The 27,689-nt window shown below is 53.7% G+C and overlaps 1 protein-coding gene, 1 long non-coding RNA gene and 1 pseudogene across 9 annotated transcripts in view, besides 2 other annotated features; 2 read left to right on the top strand and 1 right to left on the bottom strand.

The window, feature by feature from the left end:
* Positions 1 to 577: 577 nt before the first annotated feature.
* URAHP (urate (hydroxyiso-) hydrolase, pseudogene) lies at positions 578 to 8,600 on the top strand (annotated as a pseudogene). 2 transcript variants are annotated; one of them, NR_027335.2, is made up of 5 exons: positions 736 to 823; positions 1,265 to 1,404; positions 3,738 to 3,859; positions 4,372 to 4,713; positions 7,944 to 8,600. The product of NR_027335.2 is annotated as a urate (hydroxyiso-) hydrolase, pseudogene, transcript variant 2 (transcript). The 2 variants fall into 2 exon arrangements; NR_027336.2 differs by lacking the exons at positions 736 to 823; positions 7,944 to 8,600 and adding an exon at positions 578 to 618 and having other exon boundaries at positions 4,372 to 5,459.
* Positions 1,425 to 1,938: an enhancer, noted in NCBI's record as "H3K4me1 hESC enhancer chr16:90112831-90113344 (GRCh37/hg19 assembly coordinates)". NCBI's record gives its function as "activates a minimal SCP1, AML or CMV promoter by ChIP-STARR-seq in naive H9 embryonic stem cells {active_cell/tissue: H9 hESC(naive)}" and the evidence as "EXISTENCE:reporter gene assay evidence [ECO:0000049][PMID:30033119]".
* DRC4 (dynein regulatory complex subunit 4) overlaps positions 3,401 to 27,689 on the bottom strand; it is a 25,328-nt gene continuing 1,039 nt past the window's right edge. The window contains exons 1-11 of one of the 6 annotated variants that reach the window (NM_001286205.2): positions 25,637 to 25,681; positions 20,639 to 20,725; positions 16,865 to 17,185; positions 15,437 to 15,643; positions 12,674 to 12,728; positions 11,775 to 11,980; positions 10,962 to 11,129; positions 10,513 to 10,599; positions 7,852 to 8,061; positions 5,826 to 5,891; positions 3,401 to 5,165 (exon numbers count right to left, since the gene is read on the bottom strand). In NM_001286205.2, coding sequence (NP_001273134.1) covers positions 5,016 to 5,165; positions 5,826 to 5,891; positions 7,852 to 8,061; positions 10,513 to 10,599; positions 10,962 to 11,129; positions 11,775 to 11,980; positions 12,674 to 12,728; positions 15,437 to 15,643; positions 16,865 to 16,903 — 1,188 coding nt within the window. In that variant the 5' untranslated portion in view covers positions 16,904 to 17,185; positions 20,639 to 20,725; positions 25,637 to 25,681 and the 3' untranslated portion in view covers positions 3,401 to 5,015. Of the gene's footprint in view, positions 5,166 to 5,825; positions 5,892 to 7,851; positions 8,062 to 10,512; positions 10,600 to 10,961; positions 11,130 to 11,774; positions 11,981 to 12,673; positions 12,729 to 15,436; positions 15,644 to 16,864; positions 17,186 to 20,638; positions 20,727 to 25,636; positions 25,682 to 27,689 lie in introns of those variants that run through there. The other 5 variants (NM_001481.3, NM_001286209.2, NM_001286208.2 and 2 more) reach the window with 5 other exon arrangements.
* GAS8-AS1 (GAS8 antisense RNA 1) lies at positions 18,460 to 19,462 on the top strand. Its single transcript, NR_122031.2, has one exon. It is a non-coding gene; the product is annotated as a GAS8 antisense RNA 1 (long non-coding RNA).
* Positions 27,606 to 27,689: part of a silencer, noted in NCBI's record as "tiled region #21; HepG2 Repressive non-DNase unmatched - State 1:Tss", that runs on past the window's edge. NCBI's record gives its function as "represses a minimal TATA promoter and a strong SV40 promoter by Sharpr-MPRA in HepG2 cells {active_cell/tissue: HepG2}" and the evidence as "EXISTENCE:reporter gene assay evidence [ECO:0000049][PMID:27701403]".

Below are 27,689 nucleotides of genomic sequence, written 5' to 3'. Positions count from 1 at the left end.
GGGCCTCCACCCTGCGCTCATCCACCGCGCGTTGCGGGGAGGAAGGGCGGGGGGGAGGTCAGCTCAGAGAGCTTCACCTACGGAGCCATATCAACAATCTGAGGAGTCACCACTGCTCCCATTTTACAGATGAGAAAACCGAGGCAAGGTCACATGGCCTGTCGGGGGAAACTTACCCTGTGAGGGGCTTCCATGAGAAACCTGCGGGCCTCTGAGCCTCCCAGGGGAGAGATGGGCCCCGCGCCGTCCCCAGTCTCGCGCAGGTCTTCTTGGGACCCACCTGGCCCGCCCCCATCCCCTCCATCCCCCCATCCCCCCGTCCCGCCGTCCCCCCGCCCCCTCTCACAGCGGTCCCGCCCCCCGCTCCCTCTCACCGCGGTCCCGCCCCCTCTCACCGCGGTCCCGCCCCCTCTCACCGCGGTCCCGCCCCCTCTCACCGCGGTCCCGCCCCCTCTCACCGCGGCCCCGCCCCCTCACCGCGGCCCCGCCCCATCTCACCGCGGCCCCGCCCCCCGCCCCCTCTCACCGCGGTCCCGCCCCTTCTCACCGCGGCCCCGCCCCCGTCCCCGCCCCCACCACCCCCCAGCAGGTCCTCGCGACTCCGCTTCTGGGCCCCAGGTCTGTGCGCCCTGATTCGCCACCAGCGCACCTTCCTGGGCAAAGCCCCGCTGGGGCCCTCCTGGTGGGCACGAGGTGGTCCGGGGCGGGGTGACCGGCCCCGCCCTTCCCTTTGCCCGCGGGCGTCGCAGTCCGGCAGGGCAGGATGAGCCCCCGGGCCGTCCCGCGGCTGCTGAGGCTCCAGCGACACCTAGGCCCCCAGGAGGTTAGGGGGCCAGGCCTGGACCTGCAGGGCTCCTGTCCCCTCAGCTGCTTGCGTGGGGCTGAGCGTCGAGGGCCCAGGAACCGGGGCGCGGAGGAGAGCCCAGTTCCGGGAGAACCACCCCAGGGGCTGGAACTGAGGGCCTGGGGGGAAATGGCCATTTCGTGGGGCCGTGGGCGGGACAGTGGGTGTCCCCAGTGGGGCAGGGGAGCCACAGGGATTGGTGGGGGAGGGTCGGCAGGCACAGGCTGCGCTGTTTACGTTTGGTGCCTCATCAGCTGCCTGGGCACTTCCGGTCACCCTTGCCCCCTGTCCCCTGGGCAGCTCGGAGAACTCTGTCCAGAGGGCTGTTTAAGCCCCACAGCTGGTGTGGACGCAGGATTGGTGTGGGTAGGCGGGCACAGGGCTCCAGAGGCTCACCCTGGCCTCCTTCTCCTGGCCCAGGGCAGCAGCACGGAGCCTCCGGACAACCTACTGACCACCCACGTGCTGGACACCGCCTCAGGGCTCCCAGCCAGAGGCCTCTGCCTCCGCTTGTGCTGGCTGGAGGACCACGGCCAGCAGTGGGCGGAGCTGAGGACAAGGTAGGAGAGAGGCCCTGGGAGGGGGAGTGCCGCCCTGAGACAGATGGCGGGGACTAAGGGGCCAGGCAGTGAGGCTGGAGGGCGGAGCTCACCGCTGCCGACCCTCCTCTCAGCCCGGGTTGGGAGTGAGGTTAGGGGCTCTCTCTTCTGCTTCTCTCAGCCCGTTTCCTCCTCTGAAAATACAGGGATGAGGAGAGGAGCTCTTTCCTCCCTCCCTCCAGCCTCAGGCCCCTGTGACCCTGATGGGGTGGGAGTGAGTTTCTGCCTCTCCCTGGCAGCTGTGCCAGGGCGAGGGCGGGGGGTGGTGGTGAGGTGAGGCCTGAGGTGGCATCGAAGAGCTCACTGAGATCACGGGTAACCTTGTGCCAGGCAGTACGCTGGACATTATTTCCACTCTTTTCATTCTCCATACACCCCGTGGGCCAGCACCATAATTCACCCTTCTACACATGGGAAGACTGAGGTAGCAAGCCCAGGTGCGTGCTGGGATTCCCAGCCAGGCCTGAGGGGCAGTGTGTCCCTCAGCCTCCATGGGGTCTTGCCCACTGCCCCAGGCACAGGCTCTGCGCGGCACTTCCAGAGGCAGATGTCACCCACCCAGGCCTCATGGCCCCTGCGTAAGAGGCAGGCCCCCTCCCTTCCAGCCAGAAGGACAGGGCTGGGCCCATAGGATCAGAGAGAGTCTGACCCTGCCGCTCCTACAGTCGTGTGGTCCTTCACAAAAGCTGAGACACGAGGGGTCCAGGTCCCACCTGAGCAATTAGGACAGCACTGTGTGGGCTGGGCGTCCCGTGCAGGGTCACAGAGACTCATTACCCTCATGCACACACGCTATGTTTGTTGTTGTTGTTGTTGTTGAGACAGAGTTTCACTCTTCTTGCCCAGGCTAGAGTACAATGGCGTGGCATCAGCTCACCGCAACCTCCGCCTCCTGGGTTCAAGCGATTCTCCTGCCTCAGCCTCCCTAGTAGCTGGGATTACAGGCATGCACCACCACGCCAGCTAATTTTGTATTTGTAGTACAGACGGGGTTTCTCTACGTTGGTCAGGCTGGTCTCAAACTCCCGACCTCAGGTGATCCACCCACCTCGACCTCCCAAAGTGCTGGGATTACAGGCGTGAGCCACCACACCCAGCGTGCTATGCTCTTTTTCTTTTTTGAGATGGAGTCTCTCTGTTGCCCAGGATGGAGTGCAGTGGCACGATCTTGGCTCACTGCAGCCTCCACCTACCCAGTTCAAGCAATTCTTGGCCTCAGCCTCTCGAGTAGCTGGGATTACAAGCACCTGCCACCACCCCCGGCTAATTTTTGTATTTTTAGTAGAGACAGGGTTTCACCATCTTGGCCAGACTGATCTTGAACTCCTGACCTCGTGATCCACCCACCTTGGCCTCCCAAAGTGCTGGGATTACTGGTGTGAGCCACCTTGTTCGGGCCTGCTCTTTCTAATCACAGCAGAAGCGCACACTTTAAAGACCAGCTGGCAAGAATGATGGGAGGTTTTCCAGAAGTGACTATGGGCAAAGCCACGGTTATTCAGAACCCTGATAAGGGACCAGGGCACACAACACAGACGCTCCGTGGAGTTGGACAGGCCCACTCTGTGGGTGAAGGTTTGGTAGTTATTGACCCAGAAAGCCACACACTTTTTTTTTTTTTTTTTTTTTTTTTTTGAGATGGAGTCTCGCTCTGTCGCCCAGGCTGGAGTGCAGTGGCACGATCTCGGCTCACTACAGCCTCCGCCTCCTGGGTTCATGCCATTCTCCCGCCTCAGCCTCCCGAGTTGGGACTACAGGTGCCCGTGACCACGCCCAGCTAATTTTTTTGTGGTAGAGATGGGGTTTCACCGTGTTAACCAGGATGGTCTCGATACCCTGACCTCATGATCCGCCTGTCTCAGCCTCCCAAAGTGCTGGGATTACAGGTGTGAGCCACCACGCCCAGCCAGCCATACACAATATTTTAAGTGAAAACCACAGGTTATAAAACAATACAAATAGTATAATCCACTTTATAAGTTTTTAAACAAATATACTTATGCATAGAGAAAATCTGGAAAAATATATGCCAGCTATAAAGTGGTTCTTGCTCATGGGATAAATTGTGGGAGACTTTTTCCCTTTTTGCTTCTCTGTGTTGTGATTTCCTAAAGACAGGGCAGTGGTGTCCCTAGACTGCTCTGGAACTGCAGGACCTAACAGCCTCACTGTGTCTGCTCACCCAAGTCTGACAGGTGGCAGGGCAGTGTCTGAGGCCCACTGGGATGCAGACCCAGGAAAGCTGGGGTGGGGGGCTTCTGGTCCCCATCTCTGCAGCCTCATCCTCTCCCCAGCTACACAGACCCAGATGGTCACTGTCCTGGACCAGATGAAGGCAGGCACCTACAAGCTCACCTTCGACACTGAGGGCTACTGGAGGAAGAGGGGGCAGGAAAGCTTCTACCCACATGTGGAGGTGAGAGCCCCAGTGGGCTGGAGGGGGCTGAGGCTCATGACTCACTGGGATCTGCAGGCCAGGTCCTGCTGGCCGGGCATCATTTAGGCAGTGGGCAGACTGGTCCTGGGCGGTGGCAGGTAGGTGAGCTCACTTGCTTTGAGCTCCCAAAAGAAAGGTGTCCAGGCAGCAATAGACTCTACGAGGACACACCCGTCACTCACCTGCCCAGGGTCAGGCTTTGTGGGGAGGCTGGGCCAAGGGTGATTCATCCCCTCTTTGTTGACAGAGGTTTTCATCTGAGCCAACTCCAGCTCTCTGGGCCTAACCTCACTGCCTCACCCCACACTGGAGCCGCCGCAGAAGCGCCTGACTTACTGGGCTGTGGCTTCTGTGGAGTGTCCCTCTGGTGCGGAAGGTTCACCCCATCCCAGACCCTCAGTCTGGGCTGCTGAATTCTCTCAGGTGTGTTGGGGCCAGATAGGTGGTTTGCTGCTATCCCCTTATACTCTCTCCTGGCCTCTCCATCTCAGGTTGTTTTAACCATCACCAGCAAGGCCCAGAAGTTCCACGTGCCCCTGGTCCTACATCACCTACCGAGGGAGTTAGAGCGAAGACTGGCAGCGGGAGGCTGCCTGCCCGTTCCCGCACGCTGGCTGCACCCACCCAGCCCTCAACAGAGCGGGCTTTGTGCTCATCAGGGAGCATTGGCTCACCACTTCCTAGGGAAGTCCCGGCCCCCTGGAGAATCCCACTGGGCAGCTGTGACTCAGGTGTCAATGAAGTTAGTGCCAGCACCTGCAAAGCTGTCCATTCGGTGGGACAACAGTGGCGCGAAGACAGGCAGCACAGCGCGGCACTGCCCCAACCCCCAGGTGAGTGCGGGGCACTCTGAGAAGGTGCCGCCGACTGTGGTCGGAGGTGAGACCAGGGAGTAGGCCTGGACACAGGCTGGACGTGCGGCACCCAGGGAAGGGAGCGACAGGGACACCATGGGTGAGGGTCCTGCAGGTGGTTCTCCTCCACAGAGCCAGGAAAGAGGATGGCAAGAACATGTGAAAAGCTTTCATTTGCTGATGATAAAATCTAAAAAACTTGCTGTCCTTGGTGTGATAAGGGGTGTCATCCCGAGTGTTCCTAGGCTGGTTCTCTGGGCTGTGGCCCCCCAGGGGGGCAGCTACGTCGGGGTGCCCACCAGTCCCGCGGGGCCCTGGCCCAGTGTCTGTCCGATCACAGCTGTTTCCAAGGGCTTGAAGCCCACGTTGTCCAGAGGGATCCCGAAGGCCAGCAGCTTTGCCTCATACGTGCGCAGCAGGTCGTTATGGGCCTGTGGAGACAGGGCAGTGTCAGGGAGCTGAGGGTCCCCACGCTCAGGACCACCAGAGCTGAGTGCAGCTCCATGGAGGGGCAGCGTGAGCATCACGGTGCAGAAGGATAAAGCCAAAGGCTTATCAGTCATTTCCCGTGTGGGACACAGCTCCAAGCACCTTCACTGCGTTGGCTCAGGTAGCACGACAGGGAGAGGCTGTCACTATTCCTATTCCACAAATGACGAGACGGAGGCAGAGGGCAGGGACACTCAGGGCAGAGCTGTGGTCTGGGAGGGCTCTGGGCCCTGGCTGGGTGTTTCCCACTCAGGTTCTTCACGCCCTCCCTTCCCCTGTTGAATGACGTCTGTTTCCTTCCCCGGTGGGCACAGCACCTTCTGACTCCCTGCCCAGGGGAAGGGGCTGACCAGGGAAGCGTCCAGGTCCCCCCCTACACCCATCCCAGCAGAGACATGGCCTAGACAGCAGTGCACTGCCCCAGACCACACAGAATCCAGATGCTCTCGGCTATGACTGCACCCTCACGTGGGGACAGTGACAGCTGCCTTGTCAAACGAGGTACGAAGTGGGCACAGGTGGGGTCCTCAGAGACCGTCTGCATTTAGAACAGTCTGGGCACCGAGGGGGTGCCCCTGAGGGAGGGCAGGGCACAGCCGTACCTTACAGACCTGGGCCAGCTCATACTGCAGGTCCTTGATGGTGCTGTTCTTCGACTCAAGAACATCCTGAGGAGAGAGAGGTGATGGGAGTTTGAGACTCATCTTTTGGCCGAGGCAACGGGAGCGGCCTGGGGACTCCAGTGGGCGTTCTGAGAGATCCAGCGAATAGCAGCCTGGTTTGATGGATGCATCCATCCACACAGGGTTGTCAGCAGAAAAAGGTCTCCAAGGGTGGAGAGAAAACAAGGAAGAAGCAGAGAACTGGGAGCTTGCACAACCTGCCTCTCCAGCAACAGTCCAGGCCAGGCACTGCCGCTCACACCTGTGATCCCAGCAGTGTGGGAGGCCAAGGAGGGCAGATCACTTGAGGTCAGGAGTTTGAGACCAGCCTGGCCAACGTGGCGAAACCCCGTCTCTACTATACGAAAAGTAGCCGGGCACGGTGGCTCACACCTGTGTAATCCCAGCTACTCAGGAGGCTGAGGCATGAGAATTGCTTGAACCTGGGAAACGGAGGTTGCAGTGCGCCGAGATTGAGCCACTGCACTCCAGTCTGGGTGACAGAGCAAGACACCGTCTCAAGAAAAAACTCAAAGAGCAGTCCAGACCACAAGAAATGCAGATGAGGTGAGGGCAGGCAGCGTGCAGCCACACTGTGGAGACTGGTCACTAAACACCACCTACATATTGCTTAAATTTCTTGAGGCTTGTGAATGTACTATCTCACTTTTTTTTCTGAGATGGAGTCTCGCCCCGTTGCCCAGGCTGGAGTGCAGTGGCGCGATCTAGGCTCACCGCAACCTCCGCCTCCCAGGTGCCAGGAATTCTCTGCCTCAGCCTCCCAAATAGCTGGGATTACACCCGCCACCAAGCCCAGCTAATTTTTGTATTTTTAGTAGAGACGGGGTTTCACCATCTTGGCCAGGCTGGTCTTGAACTCCCAAACTCGTGATCTGCCCACCTCAGCCTCCCAAAGTGCTGGGATTACAGGCGTGAGCCACCGCGCCCGGCTATCCCACTTTTTTGTAACAGAAAAAAGTAGTCTTCAGCAGCGCTGGCCCCGCCCAGATGTGGGCAAGGGTCTCACCACGTGGCGAGGCAGGGACTTCTTGGGCTCCTGCCTGTGGGGCACTGCTGGGCCCAGCCTGGCTTTAGAGCCGTCCCTGCTGCCCACTGACACAGCAGCCCCCTCACACCTGGCCAGCAGCAAACAGTGTCCCTGCGGGGGCCTCTGTCATTTCCCCAGAAGATTCCTCACTTAGAAGTCGAGGTAACAATGACCAGGAAAGGAGGGGTTGACCCACATTTAGCTCCATCCTCCATCCTCACCCTGGCGCGTGGGCGCAGCTGCAATGACCCTCACAGGCCACGACTGCTCTCTTCACCCTCATTTCGGTGGCTTAGCAGCAGGCTGGGTGCAGCCCTCAGCCAGGAGCTGGAAACACGCCTCCCCCACCTCCCAACAGTGGGACCCTCACTCCCTCACCTGCCTGTGCTCACTGGGCCCAGTGCTGAGCAAACAAAGATGAGTTTTCAGTCCCGGGGCCACAGTGCCTCTGGCCCAGGTGAGGCCCCTCCTATACAGCCTCACTACCTCAGGCCCTGAGAGCCAGGCCATCCCAGATGACCAGGGTCCCACAGGCACCACCGCCCACTGGGCCGGGACCCGTCGTTCCCCCATGTGCAAACACCAAGTCACCTCGGCCCCTCCCAGCCCCACCTGTGGACTCAGCCTCCTGGCGGCTCTCCAACCCTCTGCCCGTCCCCATTCTGTGCTGGCCCCAACCAGCCCCCTCCAGCCCTGTGCTCCCCATCAATAGCAGAGTGGGCCCTGATCTGGTTCCCCTGCCCAGCCCTTCCACAGTTCCCAACTGGCCCGAAACTGGCCACAGGAAACCCATGAATGCCCCTCCTCAGTGGCCGACCGAGGGGTCTCTGTGCCTATCCGAGGAGCAGCACAGAACTGAAGACTCTTGCCACAGGGATGAGGCCGCCCACTGGGGTCAGGAGCCTGTCTAGGGCCTACCTCCAGCTTGCGGGACACCAGCGTCAGGGCTGCAGGGTCCAGGTTAGAGGCAGCCAGGACCTCGTTGAACTGCACCTCCTTCTTCTCCACAGCGGCGCTCAGAGCCTGCAGCTTGCGTTCTAGCACGAGGTTCTTGAACCCTGTCTTCTGCTGCACCTCCTGGATGGCTGCGGTGAACTTCCGATAGAGCTCGTCCCGCTCCTGCTGCACCTGTAGGGACAGCGCTGGGGGTGGGCGATGAGGCCCCTCACCTGGGGACATCTCGCTGGGAAGATGCTGCCTCCCACCTCTGCACCTGCCTGGAACACGCTGCCTCCCAACAGTGCCCACTCCCACAGCACCGGGGTCAGTGTGTTGTCCACACTGCCTGCGCCCTGGCCCTTTGTAGAGCCATCCACGCAGTGGAAGGCAGGAGGAACACATCAGCATAAGCCCTTCTCTCAGGAAGGTGTCTCTGGAAGCCATAAGTGTCCTGGTAAGAGCTGAAGCAGCCCCACCCTGAAAGCTGCTTCATGGGTGGCCGAGGCCAGTCTTGCCCGAGTGAGGGCTGTGGGCTCAGGTGAGATTTGAGATCCAGGGCATCCAGCAGGCCGAGCTTGCAGGTGGGGCCCCTTGGAGGATATGCTCCCTTGGCCAGCCCCAGATCCTGGCATCACATGTGCTGTCCGCCCCACAAATGGTGGATCTGGAGCACGGCCTTGGAGCCAGCTACCTGCCAGCCAGTAAAACTGTTCTTTTTTATCTCCTAATTCTTCTACTTATTAATTGTGCATTCTAAAAAAATCTAGACTTTGTTGAAGACTATAAAAAAGTGAACACCCTGAGCAGCGTGTGGTGGCTCACGCCTGTAATCCCAGCACTTTGGGAGGGTGAGGTGGGTGGATCGCCTGAGGTCAGGAGTTCGAGACCAGCCTGGCCAACAGAGTGAAACCCTGTCTCTATCAGAAATACCAAACATTAGCCGGGCGTGGTGGCAGGCGCCTGTAATCCCAGCTACTCGGGAGGCCGAGGCAGGAGTATCACTTGAACCCAGGAGGTGGAGGTTGCAGTGAGCCGAGATCGTGCCATTGTACTCCAGCCTGGGCAACAAGAGCGAAACTCCATCTCAAAAATAAATAAATAAATAAATAAATAAATAAATAAATAAATAACTGCCTTGGTCTCTAAATTTTGCTGATAAATTTGAGCTCTCGGTTCTCTAGGAAGAGACACCAGCTTGGACACTGTCAGGAACCACATTCAAATGGAAGAAAATGTGACAGAAAACAAGGCTCCAACCCAGGCACGTCTCTGCTGTCCTCTTCCCAATAATGTCCACCTCAAAACCCACAGGGAGAAGGAAGGGCCCCTTGTCTAACACAGCAGTCCTCAGGATCTCACTGACTACCTTGCAGGTGCCCTTCCCTTAGGTGCCAAGAGTTGGCACAGCCTAGCAATGCACGTCGTGCAGGACCTGAGGTGTCTCTGAAGGTGGGGCTAGATCTGACAGACAGATGGGATATTTCTGAGAAGCGAATCCCACTACAACGGTTTGTGTTCAAAAATTTCAATTAGGTTAGAGAACAAAACAGCACATATAACTGCGGCTCAAGATAAGATGCCCTGGCCCCGCACACCACAGACAAAGCCTTGAGGGGCCCATGCTGCAGGGATTGGTCCTTGGCCAGAACTTTGAAACTGAACAGAGGCAAGGAGCGTCTTTAAGGGACAGAGACAGGACCGAGCACCCCTACCACTCACTGCGAATCTTGGAAGTGCCCACGAAATGAGATGTTTTCCACCCAGTCACTTCTGCAAAGGTTTAAACCTGTCAGATCTGGTGCAGGTGAGGATGGAAACGGCCCCTCCGCACCCTGGCAGGTGTGTGACTCAGAGCAGCCCTCTGGACAGATGATCAGGGTCCTCAGAACAGAACCCTCAGACTCAACAATCCCACTGCTAGGAACTGGCTTTCCTAAGAAGCAATCTCACACAAGTGCACAAAGACAAATTTAAAAGGATTGAGGCAGCAATGCTTATAGCAGCAGAGCATTAGAAACAGACGGGAGTCGGCTAAATGATCAAACGTTCACAAAACGCAGCACCAAGCAGCTGTGAAAAGGATGAGACCGCTTCCTATGTGCAGCCTGATACACTGTGAGATTAAAAAGCAAATTGTGCTTATGGCCTGATCCCGTGTTCGTAACATACAAAGTCACATCCACACGAGAGCATGCAGGAAACCTGGAAGGGAGCCCATAAAACTCGCCAGTGTGAGGACCAGCACTGAGCAGCCGGAGACTCATCTTCACTTACACTTAAGAGCCTCCCTCATGTGCTTTCAGAGGTGAGCTCTCGAGGGGACGAAAGTCATGTGTGATCCGTTCCCCATCAAGACCCCAGGCCTTCTGCAGAATATGCATGCAGAACAGGCCACAGGTTTTTGCCTCTTAGAAGCTGCGGAATGAGTTACAGGGAACAGGGCCTCCAGCTTCAGAACCCAGAAACCTGGCCAAGGCATCTGAAGCTGGTCCAGGGGCCACAAGGAGAGCCCCGTCCCTGGCTAGCAGGGGTGCCATCCCCACTGCAGGGCCAGCCTAGTGCCCGCTCACCTTGGTGAACTTGGTGAACCGTTGCTCTAACACCCACCGCCAACTGCAGGGCCAGCGTGGTGCCACTCACCTTGGTGAATCGCTGCTCTAACACTTCATGCTCCCACTGCAGGTCTTTCAGCTCTTTCTCCCTGACTTTCAAACGGGCTTTTGTGCACTGGAGGAAAAACAGGGAGTAGGGGACAGAAAGTATTCAAGATTCACAGTCATCCAAGTAACACGGGCTCCTGGGAGATGGCAAGGCCAAAAATAATCGCCAGAAAGACCTGGTTCCAGGACACAAGCAGCTGAGTCTCACCAAGGCCGGCCGGTAGCACGTGGTGAAGATGAGGGCCTTGTCTCCAAAACACCCCCAGACTTTACTTTCCCCAGGAGAACACGAGGCAGAGAAAGGAGAAATGCAGGCCTCCCCGTCTCCCTTCCTGCCCTAAGGGCCAAGCCCCTCCCTGTGATGCTCCTCCCTCCTGAGCCTAGGCAAGCTCATGCCAAGGAGGGAGAGGAATCCAGCGGGAAACTCACAAGCAGGATCTGCTTGTCCCTCTCGTAGTTTGCGAGCTGTTTCTGCATCTCGCTCATCTCCTCCCGAGCCTTCTGGAGAGGGTCTGCCAGGCGCTTGTTCTGCCCAGACACCTCTGCCATCTCCCTCTCCAGGTGGTCCTCCTTCTTCCGCATGTCCTCCATCTGCTCCTGCAGGCACAAGCACAGGCCCGGCAGGGGCTCAGCAGGCAGAACCAAAGGGGCTGTGGCCTGCATGGTGAGAGCTGGGTGCTCTCCTGCCCATCACCAGCTGCTGCCAGCCTCAGGCATGCTGGCACCTAGACGTCTTCTATGTATAAACAGTATTTCTGCAGCTTCAACTTATTCTGAGTTTTCTGGGAATGCAGCTTCCATGCAGACTGAAGGACTATACTTTGTTCAAGATTCCACCAAGGGCCGTTGTCTACTGTAGAAAATCCTGTCACTGCCAGCATGCAGTGACGATGACACCTATCCACCTGTCGCAGGCAGTGACTATGACACCTATCCACTCCAGCCACATCACGGCCCTCACTGCGGTTCCATCTGAGCTTTTACAAACCAGAACACACTTCATTACTTCCCCCTCTGCACTACGGTGAGGGCAATATCCTGACTGCTTTTAACAATAGGTAGAGATAGGTTACGTTATTTAGGAATTTCAGTTAAGGATATGAGAGGGGCATTGTCAAACAATCTTATAAAAAGTACTGGGTGTGTTGGGGTGGAGAGCTGGGGTCTGGATCCCCAGGACTCTGCAGCCCACATTCTAGGACAGGCAGAGTGTGCCTCCCCAGCCCAGCCCACGCACAGCACCTTGAGGGAGTTGATGAGGGCCAGGTTGTTGAGGGTGATGTCGTTGTAGTAGTTCTTAATGTCGGTGAAGGCCTCCTCGTGGCGCTGCATCAGCGTGTGGATCTGGCCATTCTTCCTCTCCTCCACTTCGTGGAGCTCAGTCTTTCTCCGCAAGTCGAGTTCGTCCCTCAGCATCTTCATCTTCTTATCATACTTGGCCTCAATTTCTGAAAGGCAGCAGCAAACAGCAGCTTAGCAGAGGAAGACGTGGTGCCCCTACGGCTACAGAACATGGAGCCTGTAAACGGGCCCAAAACGCCCACTGTGGTCAGAACAGCCTTGCAGGCAAAAGCTCTGCAAGAGAAGAACAAAGGGGTTTAGACTGAGTTTTTCTGCTGATGCTCACACTCAGCACACACACCACTGTCGGCCTGCCTTTGCCAGTGACAGGCATTGCTAATCGCTCCCTGCACTGGGGGTGCCAACAGCTGAATGTCAGCTGACCCCAGTGAGCAGTAACCGAGGCCTGTGTGGCCACCCAGCCACAATCAGCCTTTATTAGTAAAACACAGAGACTTCTGAAATTGGAGCCTTCTCAGACCAGGAGCCATGGAGAAGACTATTTTAAGAAGGCTGCCCACGGCACTGAATAGCTACCACCTGCTGATAACTACTGATTTTAGCTAGGAGTGGGAATGTGTGTGGTAATCACAGCCTCCCAAACTCACATGGAAATAGGTTGTTCTGGGATTCTGAGTGGGTCCACTGGCCTTGGAAACTTCCATGTTCTTTCTCTTGCATGCCTTGGCTGTTTTAATCCAGTTTTTGCTCCCTGAGTTAACAAGCTCTGGAGGTAAATTCCTCTCTGATGGGGCGGGGGTGTCTCTGGCACCTACACAATGAGCACACGGGAAACTGACCTCGAACTTGCCTCTCAAAATCATTCCGCATCCTGGTGATCTCCTCGGTGTGTTTCTGCACAGGGAGAAGCGGCCATTACTACACAGCCGGACACAGAGGGAAGCCCGCTCCCTTCAGGCTGACCCTGTTCCTCATGGTTTTGGTCACCTCCATATTCCCTAACTCACCTCCCTCAACTAAAGTCACCTCTAAGCTTGAGAGAGAACATGAACAGACGTCGTGAGCACTGAACCCGCTTGGTTCCATCGCCAAACCATCCCACAGCCTGAAGAGCAGCAGCCACATCCACACAGAGCTGTGGGATCTTTCCAGGTGCCGTGTGTAGCTTCCAACCTGCTGCACTGCTGCCTGAAGCAGCATATTAAAAGGATTCATTCCTGTCATCCCAGCACGCTGGAGGCCAAGGCAGGAGGATCACTTGAGGTCAAGAGTTCAAGGGCAGCCTAAGCAACATAGCAAGATCTTCTACAGAAAATTTAAAGATTGCCGGGCACAGTGGCTCACGCCTGTAATCCCAGCACTTTGGGAGGCCGAGCTGGACAGACCACCTGAGGTCGGGAGTTTAAGACCAGCCTGACCAACATGGAGAAACCCCGTCTCTACTAAAAATACAAAATTAGCCGGGCATGGTGGCACATGCCTGTAATCCCAGCTAGTCGAGAGGCTGAGGCAGGAGAATAGCTTGAACCCGGGAGGCAGAGGTTGTGGTGAACTGAGATTGTGCCACTGCACTCCAGCCTGGGCAACAAGAGCAAAACTCCATCTCAAAAAAAAAAAAAAAAAAAAAAAAAAAAGATTAGGTGGGTGTGGTGGCTCATATCTATAGTTCCAGCTACTTGGGAGGCTAAGGCAGAAGGATCACTTGAGACTAGAAGTTCGAGGCTGCAGTGAGCTATGATTGTACCATTGCACTGCAGCCCGGGAGACAGAGTGAGACCTCATCTCTAAAAATAAATAAATATATAGTTTTAATGAACAATTATTATATATTTAAATAAACATTATATATTTAAAATTTGCATAAAAAAATAAATTATTTTTAAAGCAGTAATTTTTCTTTTTTTTGAGACAGACTCTCACACTGTCGCCCAGGCTGGAGTGCAGTGGCACAATCTCGGCTCACCGCAACCTCCGTCTCCCAGGTTCAAGTGATTCTTCTGCCTCAGCGTCCCGAGTAGCTGGGATTATAGGTGTGCGCCACCACGCCCGGCTAATTTTTGTATTTTTAGTAGAGACGGGGTTTCACCACGTTGGTCAGGCTGGTCTCAAACTCCTGACCTCGTGATACACCCTCCTCGGCCTCCCAAAGTGCTGGGATTACAGGCGTGAGCCACCGCACCCGGCCTAAAGCCATATTTTTACCCAACAGGAAACTCTGATTATGTAACAATATCATATCCAGGACCTGGGTTAAGACCAGCTAATTCTGGAGGGCTCAAGACTTCGGCACTCTCAGGCTTTGCTGCGAAGTCAGCAACGTCACCAAGTTTCTTCCAGATTCAGTGGAGGCTGGACTGCTTCCAGGCGTGAGGCAAATGTGTTCAGAAAGTCTCCTCAACCCAGCAGCCAGGAAGAACCTTAGTGAGACACATCTCTCCTCTGCCCAAGTTCTCAGAGGGCAACAGACTCCACCAGGGTCAAAGTCCCAGTCCCCACCACGGCTTTCGAGGCGGACGAGCTCTGACCCGTCTCCAGTCCCCACCACGGCTTTCGAGGCGGACAAGCTCTGACCCTCTCCCACAGTCTCCTCCTGGTCACTCTGAGCTTTCCCACTGGCCCATCCCGTCTCCCAGCCGGTCAACTGCTTGTACAAAACCGCACCCCACCTCTCCCCACTTCGATCCTTCTATGGCACTCTTCCCCACCAGATACTCTGTTGTATCTGGCACGTTTATTTTGTCTTCCAACTCACCTGTTGTCTCTCCTTTCTAGACCAACAGCCCCAGTCGGGCAGGCGTTTTGTCAGAGATCAGATCAGGACCTAGCAGCTAATGGACACTCAGCAAATGATCTCTTTCCTTTTTGTTTTGTCTCACTCTGTCACCTAGGCTGGAATGCAGTGGCACAATCCTAGCTCACCACAGCCTTGACTTCCTGAGCTCAAGGGATCCTCCCGCCTCAGCCTCCCAAGTAGCTGAAACTATCGGCATGTGCCACTACACCAGCTAATGTTTTCTTTTAAATTTTTTAGACATGGGGTTCAACTATTTCACCCAAGCTAGTCTCAAACTATTGGCCTCAACCACTTCTCCCACCTGACCCTCCCAAGTGCTGGGATTTTGGGTGTGAGCCACTGAACCAGGTGCACAGATGAATTTTAATGGTGCCCTGGAAACCCCCAGCCTCAAAAGTAAAAATCAGACCAGCTTGTGTGACAAACTGTCACAGTGCCCAGGAGTCAACACACTGGATATTTTAATGGTTGGTTTGCATTCTACTAAATGCATATGATGCTATTCCCTAGGAAAAGTCTCTGGGTGTCAGGTGTCAGCAGCACATGAAAGATCCTAAGCTGGATTTTTTCTCTTCGGTGACGTCAATTTTTTGCTCAGGTCTGAGACAGAATTGTGTACTTGGTCCCAAAATGGGGTTTGTTTGGATGCATGCTTTAAAAAATTTTTTTTCAACAAATTGCAAAAATGCAGAAAGTCTTATGCAGAAATATGAATTCCCAGTTGCTGTTGAATAAACAGGAGTTCATGCAGCACTAGGCTTGCCGTCCCAACAACCTGTCAGCCTCCAGGTGCCCCCGCCACACCTACCAGCCGCAGGTTCTTCACCACCACCTCACTGGCCAGCTCCTGCTCCTTGAGCTCCACCTTCAGTGCCCGCATGTCCTTGCGCAGCACACTCTCCTGTATGCGGTGCTCTTTCTGTGCCAGCTTCATGACTACAGTGCCCTCAGCCTTCATCTCTGTCAGGTTGTTCTGGTGCTCATATAGCAGGTGCTTCACTTTCTGCTTGTACACCTGCAGGGCAATGGGAGTACCATCTGCTCACCTGCACCACACCTCCTCACCTTTCCGTACCTGTGCACACCTGGTCACCCATAGCACACCTGTACCACACCTCCTCACCTGTCCATACCTGTACACACCTGGTCACCTGTACCACACCTCCTTACCTGTCCATCCATACCTGTACACACCTGGTCACCCATACCACACCTGCACCACACCTCCTCACCTGTCCGTACCCGTACACACCTGGTCACCTGTACCACACCTCCTCACCTGTCCATACCTGTACACACCTGGTCACCCATACCACACCTGTACCACACCTCCTCACCTGTCCGTACCCGTACACACCTGGTCACCTGTACCACACCTCCTCACCTGTACATACCTGTACACTCCTGCTCACCCACACCACACCTGTACCACACCTCCTCACCTGTCCATACCTGTACACACCTGGTCACCTGTACCACACCTCCTCACTTGTACATTCCTGTATACACCTGATCACCTGCACCGTACCTGTAACACACCTCACCTGTACATACCTGTACCCCCCTGCTCACCTGCACCACACCTGTACCACACCTTCTCACCTGTCCATACCTGTACACACCTGGTCACCTGTACACCTCCTCACCTGTAAATTCCCGTACACACCTGGTCGCCTGCACTACACCTGTACTACACCTCCTCACCTGTACATACCTGTAGACACCTGGTCACTTGCACCTACCTGCTCACCTGCACATACCTGCCCCACGTGCTCACCTCCCCACACCTCACCTGCACATACCTCCTCACCTGGCCACGCCTCCTCACCTGCACACACATGCTCACTTGCATCCACCTGCTCACTTGCATGCCTCACCTTTACACAGCTACACATGCCTGTTCACCTATGCAAACCTGTACACTTGAGGCACAGAGCAGGACACCAAGGCTGGGAGGTGAGGTGCATCCCCAGCTCATGGGGTATTAAGTGGCAGAGCTGAGTTGCAAACAGGCCAGTCTGCCCCCAGAGCCCATATTCCTTCCATGTTGTGGAGGCAGCATTTTAAACCCTCAGGACCTGCAGGGTCTCTCCCTCAGGCTTTTATAAAAAACACCTTTAAGGCTGTGACTCCCAAAGCCAAGAACAGAAAATGTCCCACCTGCACCCTCACTGGATCCAGCTCCTCTGGGGCTCTGTGGTGACCAGGTTAGCACGTGCAGGCCGGCCCCACTCACCTTGATCTCCACCTGGTGCCTCTCCTCGGCTTCTTCCATCTCCCGGTCTTTGTTCCGCAGCTCAGCCTTCTTCTCCTCCAGCTGCCTCCGTGTGATCTCCCAGAAGGTGTGGATCTTGTCCCGCTCCAGCTGGAAGTAGTTTCGTTCCTCCCGCTCGCGGTCCAGCTCCTCCCGGATGCGGCTGACATGCTCCTCCACCTGGCCAGGTGCAGTGGGTCAGGTGAGGCACTGAGCAGGGGCCCATGCACGGCAACGGGGCGTGTGGCCGGCGAAAGGCAAGGAAGAAAGAGGGAGGACTCAACTTCACCTAAAAATAAACAGCTAAATGTAAAAAGTTAAAATATAAGGCTAGGAAGCTCCGGAGACAGAATGCATTCAGCAGGTGGCAGAATTCTCTTCAATTTGGCCAATAATCATAAAATAACTAGATCCTTTCATCCATTCCTGAGAATTGATGCCTAAAAAATTTCTCAAAAGAAATATAAGAGCATCTTGCTCAAAGATATTACCCACACCATTATTACAACAGCAAAAATATCAAAAAGGAAATAACCTAAGACCAGTTTAAACAGGGAAATAAGCGAGGCGCGGTGGCTCTCGCCTGCAACCCCAGCACTCTGGGAGGCTGAGGTTGAAGGATCCCTCGCGCCCAGGAGCTGAAGACCAGCTTGGGCAACATAGCAAGACCCCATCTCTGCAAAAACTTTTTTTCATTAACTAGGCATGATGGCACGCACCTATAGTCTCAGCTACTGGGAGAGCTGAGGTGGGAGGGTCACTCAAGCTCAGGGGGTTGAGGCTGCGGTTAGTTATGATCATGCCACTACACTCCAGCCTGGGTGACAGAGTGAGAATCTGTCTCAAAAAATACACAAACAGCCAGGCATGGTGGCTCCCACCACTTTGGGAGGATCTTTTGAGCCCCAGAGTTGAACAGCCTAGGCAACATGGCAAAACCCTGTCTCTACAAAAAAAAAAAAAAAAAAAAATTAGCCAGGAGTGGTGGCACATGCCTATAGTCCCAGCTACTCAGAAGACTGAGGTAGGAGGATCGTTTGGACCTGGGAGGTCAAGGCTGCCGTGAGCCGTGATCACACCACTGCACTCCACCTGGGTGACAGAGCAGGACCCTGTCTCTAAACAATAAATAAATAAATATGGAAATGGTTGAAAAATTAGAGTATATCAACTAGGAGAAATATCACATTAACCCAAAAAAAATATGCAAATGATGTAGCAGCATTTAAACAAATTCATATCATAATGCTAAATGAAAAAAAATTCACCTTTGAAGATATAATGTTAAGCAAAAAATATACAAAACCAGTAGACTCTAAAATCTCAAGAGGGTTCAATTGCGAATCTGCAAATAGGTTAAAAAAAAATGTAGGACAGGCTTCCAGCTTTCTCGGGAGCTCATTTCCCTTAAGAATCAGTTACTGCCAGGCGCGGTGGCTCACACCTGTAATCCCAGCACTTTGGGAGGCAGAGACAGGCAGATCATGAGGTCAGGAGATCAAGGCCATCCTGGCTAACACGGTGAAACCTCGTCTCTACTAAAAATACAAAAAAATTAGCCGGGCGTGATGGCAGGCACCTGCAGTCCCAGCTACTGGGCAGCCTGAAGCAGCAGGATGGTGTGAACCCAGGAGGTGGAGCTTGCAGTGAGCCGAGGTCGCGCCACCGCACTCCAGCCTGGGCCACACAGCGAGATTCCGTCAGAATCAGTTACTTTTCGGGCACAGCCCCAGGCCACTTACTGTGAGCCTTTTTCTTTCTCAACACCACATTCCCCACAGGGAAAACACATTTCTCACCTCAAAAGAAGACAAGACAACGAGCAAACAAGAAGGAGCAGCAGGAGGGGTTCTGAGCCGAGGATGCCGGGCAGACATGAGGGAGACACGCACCCCCGAATCCAACCAGTGCCTCGGCACAACGACAAATGTCTTCACGTCACAGACCTTTAGAGGCTCCTGGGCAGAGCCTGAACCAGGGCTCCTGACTGGTCTGTTTGGCTCACATGGTGTTGAGATTTTGCCATCACTCAATATTCAGATTTCTTATAAATATCCAGATTTCCAGCTTCTCTTGGAAAATCAGAAAAAAACAGCACTGAACTCCTAGGCCCACAAGGCACTCCCCAGTGAACAGATGAAACTGTCCTCTGCTGCGGGGCAGGAGTCTCCAGGTCACCCCCATCCCTCCCCACCTGCCTGGACCCTGAAGAAGCCTTCTGAGTCTGTGGCTCAACGTGCGATGTGCAGTGCAAGGGCCTGCCCCGTAGCCTGCCCCGTAGGCTGCCCCATAGCCTGCCCCGTAAGCTGCCCCGTAGCCTGCCCCGTAGGCTGCCCCGTAGGCTCCATGGCCACTGCCCCACAAGGCCTGTCTCCACAGGAATGGGAAGCGGACAGGGAGACGGGCAGCAGCTCACATGCTGGGACAACGCAGTGTTCAATCCATTCTCCATCCAGCAGCTCCAGACATCTTTCCAGAACACAAACCTGACCCCATCACCTCTCTGCTTAGCCACTGGCTTAAACTGCCAATGGTTTGCCTGCATGTAAAATAAAGCCATTCTTTACCATTGTTCAAGGACCTCTGCCTAGCTCCAACTTCAGGTCATGAGACTCTTTCAGTCTCCTTCGTATTGATTTTTTATCTTACAACTATCAAAAGAAGGTAAGATTTATTAACAATAACACAGAGTTGACACAGCCCTCATGTCCCATGTCAGGTGCTCACAGGCAGTCGTCCATGAGGGCAGAGGCCAGAGGGTGCACCGTGCTTGCCACACACTGCCGTCTCCAGGAGCCTTTTAGGTAAAATTGTAATTATGTAATTATGTTCTGTAGCCCTTAACTACATCCAAATGAAGAAGAGACTTAAACTAACTCCTACAAAGAAACTATAAAAACATCACCTCCTCCCCAAAATAAGCAACAAGAAAAAGGCAGCCCTGATGCTGTTACTCCTTGTTGGGACTTTTATCAAAAACAATGAATGACTGGCCAGGCGTGGTGGCTCATGCCTGTAATCCCAGCACTTTGGGAGGCCGAGGCGAGTGGATCACGAGGTCAGGAGATCGAGACCATCCTGGCTAACACGGTGAAACCCCGTCTCTACTAAAAATACAAAAAAAAAATTAGCCAGGCGTGGTGGCAGGTGCCTGTAGTCCCAGCTACTCGGGAGGCTGAGGCAGGAGAATGGTGTGAACCCGGGAGGTGGAGCTCACAGTGAGCCGAGATCGCGCCACTGCACTCCAGCCTGGGCGACAGAGTGAGACTCCGTCTCAAAAAAAAAAAAAAAAAAAAAAAAAAAAATGAACGATTAATCAGATTCAGATGTGATTTGAAGTAAATCATCCTTCTTTCAAAAACTTCCTTTTTGACATAATGTTTAATGGTGAATAAAATAAAGGAGAATGCTACATGTGTGTTCTACGATAAGTCTATACACATCAGGTGCAAAAAAAGGGTAAGATTGAAAGAGAATACACGAAATTAAAAACAGCTTTTAGATCAGAAAAGCATGTCCTTCCACACTCCTACCACCCTGTTACAAAGCTCTTTCACAGGCTGCACTACCTTTCTGAAAAGACATGGTGCAGCCGAAAGCTTTGCCGCTGATGGGAATTATGGGCCACGCGGGGGGCGTGTTCTGGCTTGGACAGAAGGGTGGATCCACATGGCAAGATGGACACTCGGCGTAGGCACCCTGCGTGGTGCCCGCCCACGCCCACCCGGGGACTGGGCCACAGCCCGCTCTGCTCACCTGCTCCTTGCTCATGTCCTCTGGAGCGAGCCCATCGACAATCGGGGTGCCTTTGGCTTTGCCTTTCTTCCCTTTCTTTTTCGGTGCCTTTGGTGGAAATAATGGGGTAAGAGAGACTCTAACAGCTTCCCCTTCTTGGCTGGCTCTGATTTGCTCCCAGGAACATTTGGCAGAGAAGGTTCTGGAACCTCTCTCCCTTCTGCTCACCTGGAGCACATCATTGCCCTGAGTGTTCCCACCCTTTACCACACACACATCCTGTTGTTGCATTTGGAGAAGCACAAAGGAGAAACCTTCCTTTTGAGAAGGAGAACATTCCTTCTAGAAAAGAGAGGAGCCGGGCGTGGTGGCTCACGCCTGTAATCCCAGCACTTTGGGAGGCCGAGGTGGACGGATCACGAGGTCAGGAGATCAAGACCATCCCGGCTAACACAGTGAAACCCCATCTCTACTAAAAATACAAAAAAAAATTAGCCGGGCGTGCCGGTGGGCGCCTGTAGTCCCAGCTACTCGGGAGGCTGAGGCAGGAGAATGGCTTGAACCTGGGGCATGGAGTTTGCAGTGAGCCGAGATCACACCACTGCACTCCAGCCAGGACGACAGAGTGAGACTCCATCTCAAAAAAAAAAAAAAGAGAGGAAACCTAGCCAGGTGTGCTGGTGTGTGCCTATAGTCCCAGTTACTCGGGAGGCTGAGGCAGAAGAATCGCTTGAACCCGGGAGGCAGAGGCTGCAGTGAGCCAAGATCCCACCATTGCACTCCAGCCTGGGCAACAAAGTGAGACTCCATCTCAAAAAGCAAACTGTAACTTAAAAAAAAAAAAAAAGAAAAGAGAGGGAACTCATTCCAAACCCACTCATTCCTTGGTATACGGTGACCAGGCGCAGTGGCTCACACGTGTCATCCCAGCACTTTGGGAGGCCAAGGCAGGACAATCACTTGAGCCTAGAAGTTTAAGGCTGCAGTGAGCTATGGTGCACCACCGCACTCCAGCCTGGGCAGTAGAACGAGACCCCGTCTCCAAAAACTAAGAGAGGGGGGAACCCATTCCAAACCCACTCACTCCTTGGTAAAAAGTAAAGACCTCTGCTGTGGATGCAAAACAGAGGAAAGACCCTCAATACCACACTGCCAAATGTTACCATGCTGGCGGCAACATTGGTGACCACCATGGAAAAGACCTGCAAGACACCATTCAGTAAGCTTAGGGAGAAATGCCTCCATAACCACGATCGGTTGTGACAACCACAAGTTTCCTTTCTTTCAAAGAGAAACTTCCTTCAGAGAAGCCTGGTCAAGAAAGCTTGGGCAGACAGCACCCACCACGAGAGCCCTGTAAATGGGCTGCCAGACGGAACTGCACATGGCGTCGTGCGTGGTTTTAGCAACTTTGACAAGGATGGGAGAGAACCTTCTAACCCCACCCCCTTGTGGAAGTTGCTGAAACCACGCATGACACCAGGAGCAGTTCTGTCTGGCCACCCATTTACAGGGCACTCAAGCAGGTAACAAATTTCCATATCCTATCCTGCTGACTTTGCTACTCCCAGTAGTCTTCAGCCCATGCTTTTCTGTGTCTACATGTCTCGGTAACCTTTTTTAAAGACAAAGTCTTGCTCTGTCGCCCAAGCTGGAGTGCAGTGGTGTGATCACATAGCTCACTGCAGACTCCAATTCCTGGGCTCAACTGATACTCCCACCTCAGCCTCCCAAGGAGCTGGGACCACAGGAGTTCACTGCTGCTGTGCCCAGCTATGTAACGTTTTTAAAATTACAAATTTCATGTGGAAATTTTATTTATTTTTTAAAAACATTAAAACCTAAATCCATTTATCTTTTTTTTTTTTTTTTTGAGATGGAGTCTCCCTCGTCATCCAGGCTGCCTTGGCTCACTGCAACCTCCACCTCTTGGGTTCAAACAATTCTCCTGCCTCAGCCTCCACGAGGAGCTGGGACTACAGGTGCCCGCCACCACGCCTGGCTAATTTTTTTTTGTATTTTAGTAGAGACGAGGTTTCACCATGTTGGCCAGGCTGGTCTTGAACTCTCTTTTTTTTTTTTTTTTTTTTTTTTGAGACAGAGTCTTGCTCTGTTGCCCAGGCTGGAGTGCAATGGTGCGATCTCAGCTCACTGCAACCTCCGCCTCCCGGATTCAAGCCATTCTCCTGCCTCAGCCTCCTGAGTAGCTGGGATTACAGGTGCCCACCACCACGTCCGGCTAATTTTTTGTATTTTTAGTAGAGACGGGGTTTCACTATGTTGGCCAGGCTGTACTCGAACTCCTGACCCGTGATCTGCCCACCTAAGCCTCCCAAAGTGCTGGGATTACAGGCGTGAGCCACCGCGACTGGCCCATTTATCTTCATTTATGTTTCATTTAGTCCTGAATGAAAACATTAGGTGGAGCCAGGCACAGTGGCTCACACCTGTCATCCCAGCACTTTGGGAGGCTGAGGCGGGCGGATCACTTGAGGTCAGCAGTTCAAGACCAGCCTGGCCAACATGGTGAAACCCTGTCTCTACTAAAAATACAAAAAAATTAGCCAGGCGTGGTGGCGGGCACCTGTAGTCCCAGGTACTCGGGAGGCCGAGGCAGGAGAATCGCTTGAACCCAGGTGGCAGAGGTTGCAGTGAGCCAAGATCATGCCACTGCACTCCAGCCTGGGTGACAGGGTAAGACTCTACCTCAAAAAAAAAAAAAAAAAGAGAGAGAGAAAATATTATGTGGAAATTTTAGAAAACACTGATGAGAAGAAAACAGAAATATCACCCATATTCCTTGGTCCAAGGATCCAACAGACCAAGGCCCATATTCCCACAACCTAACAGAAACAGAAGTAGTTTGGTTGTGTTTAGTGTTTGCTGTTGTGTTTGCTGTTGCATTTTTTTGTTTTTTGTTTTTGTTTTTGTTTTTTTTGAGATGGAGTCTTGCTCTGTCACCCAGGCTGGAGTGCAGTGGTGCAATCCTGGCTCACTGCAACTGGAACAGGAATTAAAAGAAATTAAAAAGTGTGTAAGCAGAAACTCAGTTATATATAAGAAAACCCAACTCCCCCTGAAAAAGAGAAAGAGCTGGAGTCCTTTAAAAATTAACTGCCTGTTTTTCTGCGGCTAGTGAGCCTTGTCTCTCCTCCCTTCCCAGGCATTGTGAAGACCCTGATTCTGTAGCTGTGCGGCTGCAAGGTCACTAGGCAGATAAACTCAAGTCGCAAAACATGTTTTTCCTTAAAAAGTAAGAAATGATGTAATGCATGTTTCAACTGAACAACTGCCTTTATTTCTCACATCTGAAGCATGCTTCCCCCTGCACAGATCTCCCTCTGCCCCACGAAAAGCTTAAAAGGTAACTTAACTCTTTGTTCAGGGCTCAGTCCTTTGGATTTTAATCTGACTGGGCCGGTGCACCTAAATAATTAATAAATATCCTCCTGAACCCCATCGGTCTCTCTAATTCCTTAAAAATCCCACTACACAACCTCTACCTTCCAGGTTCAAGAAATTCTCCTGCCTCAGCCTCCCAAGTAGCTGGGACTATAGGTGCGTACCACCACACCCGGCTAATTTTGTGTGTGTGTGTGTGTGAGTGTGTGTGTGTGTGTATTTTTAGTAAAGACAGGGTTTCACCATGTTGGCCAGGCTGGTCTCCAACTCCTGGCCTCAAGTGATCCACCCACCTTGGACTCCTAAAGTGCTGGGTTTACAGGCGTCAGCCACTACACCCTGCTTTTTTTTTTTTTTTTTAAGAGACGTGTTGCCAGGCTGGAGTGCGGTGGTGCGATCTCGGCTCGCTGCAACCTCCGCCTCCCAGGTCCAAGTGATTCTCCTGCCTCAGCCTCCCGAGTAGCTGGAACTACAGGCACACGCCACCACACCCAGCTAATTTTTGTATGTTTAATAGATATGGATTTTCACCATGTTGGCCAGGATGGTCTGGATCTCCTGACCTCATGATCCGCCTGCCTCGGCCTCCCAAAGTGATGGGATTACAGGCGTGAGCCACCGCGCCCAGACTCCTGGCCTAGTTTGGTAGTTTCTTTCATAGTCGGTTTTCAGAAGACCCTTCCTGGGTCAGAAAACCCATCTACTTAAATTTAATTCGTAATGTACTGCTCTCTTTTTAATCCCTCCACTCCAAGAAGGCTACCTCATCACAAAGCCCTGAAGGCAGTGGAGGAAGGTTCAGCATTACTTAGCATTTGGGACCTTCACAGCCAGCTGCAGGGACTTGGTGGGGCTCCCAGAGCTTTCCTCCCCCCACCAGCTGAAACCCACCCTGCCACACCTGCCCAGAAATTGAGTTACTGACAATTCCTGTACCACAAAGGGAGAGCCCTTTACAAGAGAAAGACAGACATGGAGCTGATGAGGCCACGAGCTCCGCCTTCCTCTTCTCGGTCTGGGCCTGACTCCTGCCAGGCTTTCCAAGGGAACAGTGGTTCCTGTATCCCAAGGTTGTGCCCTGGGCACTCCAAGGGCACTGGACCTGTCCGGGCCTCCTTGGTGTAGAGGGATCTCTAGCCACTCTGGTGTGCCCCAGGCTCTCCATCCGGGAGACCAAAGGTCTTAGGGTAATTCCTGCCTCCGGCTCTATTCCATGGGGACCCTGGTGCTCTGCAAAGCCTCGTGAGCTGAAACCCTAGGTCCCAGGGATCCAACAGACCGAGTCTGCCATTCCAGGATGAGAGTCCCCTTGACGCATGTTCACTCTTCTGGGGACCGTGCGCCGCCGACCCCGGGCCCTGGGCGTTCTATGACCACCCCTGTGAGCACAGGGCTCTGGACAGCCCAGGTCTCAGTCCCGAGTGCTGCCAGGCCCCGGGGCCGGGAGCATCCTGAGTTTGCCCCACGGAGACCCCCACAAGAGCACCGAGCTCTCAATTCCAGAAACCCAGCGCTCCAGGCCTCCCATTCCCAGGGTCTCCGTGTACCGAGGCCTCCCTGCCCCGAGGTCTCCGGGCCCCTGCCGAGGACCCCAGCCCCGCTCCCGCCCCTGCTCACCATGACGCCAGCGGACAGGCCCAGCGGCGACTCCGGGACCAGGGCGCCCGCCCCCGGAAGCCACGCCGTTTCCCGGCAACCGCTGGGCGATGCCGCGATAAGTCACAAGATCCTCGCGAGACTCCGCCGGGCAGCGGCCCTGCCAAAGGCGGGAGTGCGTCCCTAGAGACGGGCGTCCGGAAGGAACCCGGTTGTGAACGTTGGGAAAATGTCGCCGGCAGCCCAGAAGCCTTTCGCTGCAGGGCATGTTTTGCTTATTGCTGGAACCTAAGCTCCACGAGGGGGGAACCCTTCACTTCTATCCTTCAGCGCCTAGAACAGCACACAGCACGTGCTCAGTAAAGACGTGCTGATGAAGGACCATTGAAGGAATGATCAATCAGCCACCCAAGCCTCTGAAACTTTCCCCAAATGAGATTCAAATCTGGGCAAACACTCTATCCCCTGGGCCTCACTCACCCCACCCGCCCACCTTTGAAGGGCCCTCCCAGCTGCTGCGCTGGTGGGTTTACACACACCTCAAAAACGCAGAAATCGGAAAGAAAAATACGTTCCAGTTTAGTTCCAAATGTTTGAAATCAGTAAGTATTCCTTTCACAAAAATAAACTGCTCTTCCTGAAGAGGCCTCCTCCCCACTCCTCACGGATGAAAAGAAACCAGAGGCTTCCCGACAGGCCCTGCAGAAAACAAACAGCTGCCACTTTCCTTTTCTAACTAATCTCTTGTTCTGAAAACTGCTAGCCATTTTACAATTTCTAAAATGAATCTGCCATCCGTGAAACCACCCTGTTACCTACATACAACCATCTATGTCACCCAGAAAGCTGAGTTTGTCATAAACAGGTGCTTTTTTTTTTTTTTTTTTTTGGAGACAGGGTCTCCTTCTGTCGCCTAGGCTGTGATCACAACTCACTGCAGCCTCGACCTCCTGGGCTCAAGCAATCCTCCCACCTCAGCCTCCTGAGAAGCCAGGACTACAGGTGTGAGACACCATACCCAGCTTTTTTTTTTAAGTTTTTAATAGAGACGGGGTCTTGCTTTATTGCCCAGAGTGGTCTCAAACTCCTGGCCTCAAGTGATCCTCCTGCCTCGGCCTCCCAAAGTGCTGGGAGCACGTGAGCCCCACGCCCAGCCCTAAGCTCTCATCTTTAACATCTTCTTAAAAAGTGGTCATCTACTTGGGAGGTTGAGGTGGGAGAATCGTTTGAGCCCTGGAGGTGGAGGTTGCAGTGAGCCAAGATCACACCACTTCACTCCAGCCTAGGTAACAGAATGAGACCTGAGACCCTGTCTCAAAAAAAAAAAGAAAAGGTCTTGTAGCAGATCTTGTTCTCCCATGTGTCTGGGGATGAAGAGTACAGAATCCATGCTCGTAGAAAGTTGTGCTGGGGGCAAAGTGTGAGAAATGAAAGAAGGCCTGGTGGACCTAGGTCTTCCTGTCCAGCTGGGGGAGGAAGTTGCCACATGAGCTGGGTTTGCTCAGGCCTCAGGCACCCACACAGTGGTGGGAATCTGAGAACCACTGTGATGAGAGACTTCCTGTTTGCCCACCTAAGTCCTGATTGTTCTTGGAGAGGAGCAGCCAGTTGGAAGAACTGCATTGGCTCAGCTTGCACAAAGCAGTGATTTATTTATAGTAAGCCCTGAGGCCTCTGTGAAGTCTGGCTGGTCACTGTGCCTGGGCAACCAGGAGCCAGCATCACTGTGCCAGACTCCCTTGGCCTGAGAGGGGCCTCCTCCCCCTGGGACAGGGTGGTCAGACAGTGACGCTGGAGAGCACAGTGGGGGTAATTATTATAATTTAACACTTACTTCACAAAACCAATATGCTAGCAGCTTCATGCTGATTGGCTTTTTGCTTCAGAAGTCTGGATGAGTGTCCTGAATTAAATAGCTGTATTAACAATAATTCCTTTCAGCAAAAAGGGCAAGAATAGGAGGGTTAGCTCAGGATAGCCTAGACAGGGTACTCATTTTTCACAAGCTAAGAGCAATCCTGGTCTGTCGGTGTGGGCTGCAGAGATGAATCATTCAGGGAGCCCTGAATTGCGG

The sequence above is a fragment of the Homo sapiens genome, chromosome 16 (assembly GCF_000001405.40).
Source record: "Homo sapiens chromosome 16, GRCh38.p14 Primary Assembly".
Taxonomy (NCBI): Eukaryota; Metazoa; Chordata; class Mammalia; order Primates; family Hominidae; genus Homo; species Homo sapiens.
Note: the sequence above shows the minus strand (reverse complement) of the source record. Positions and strands in the feature narration are given on the sequence as shown.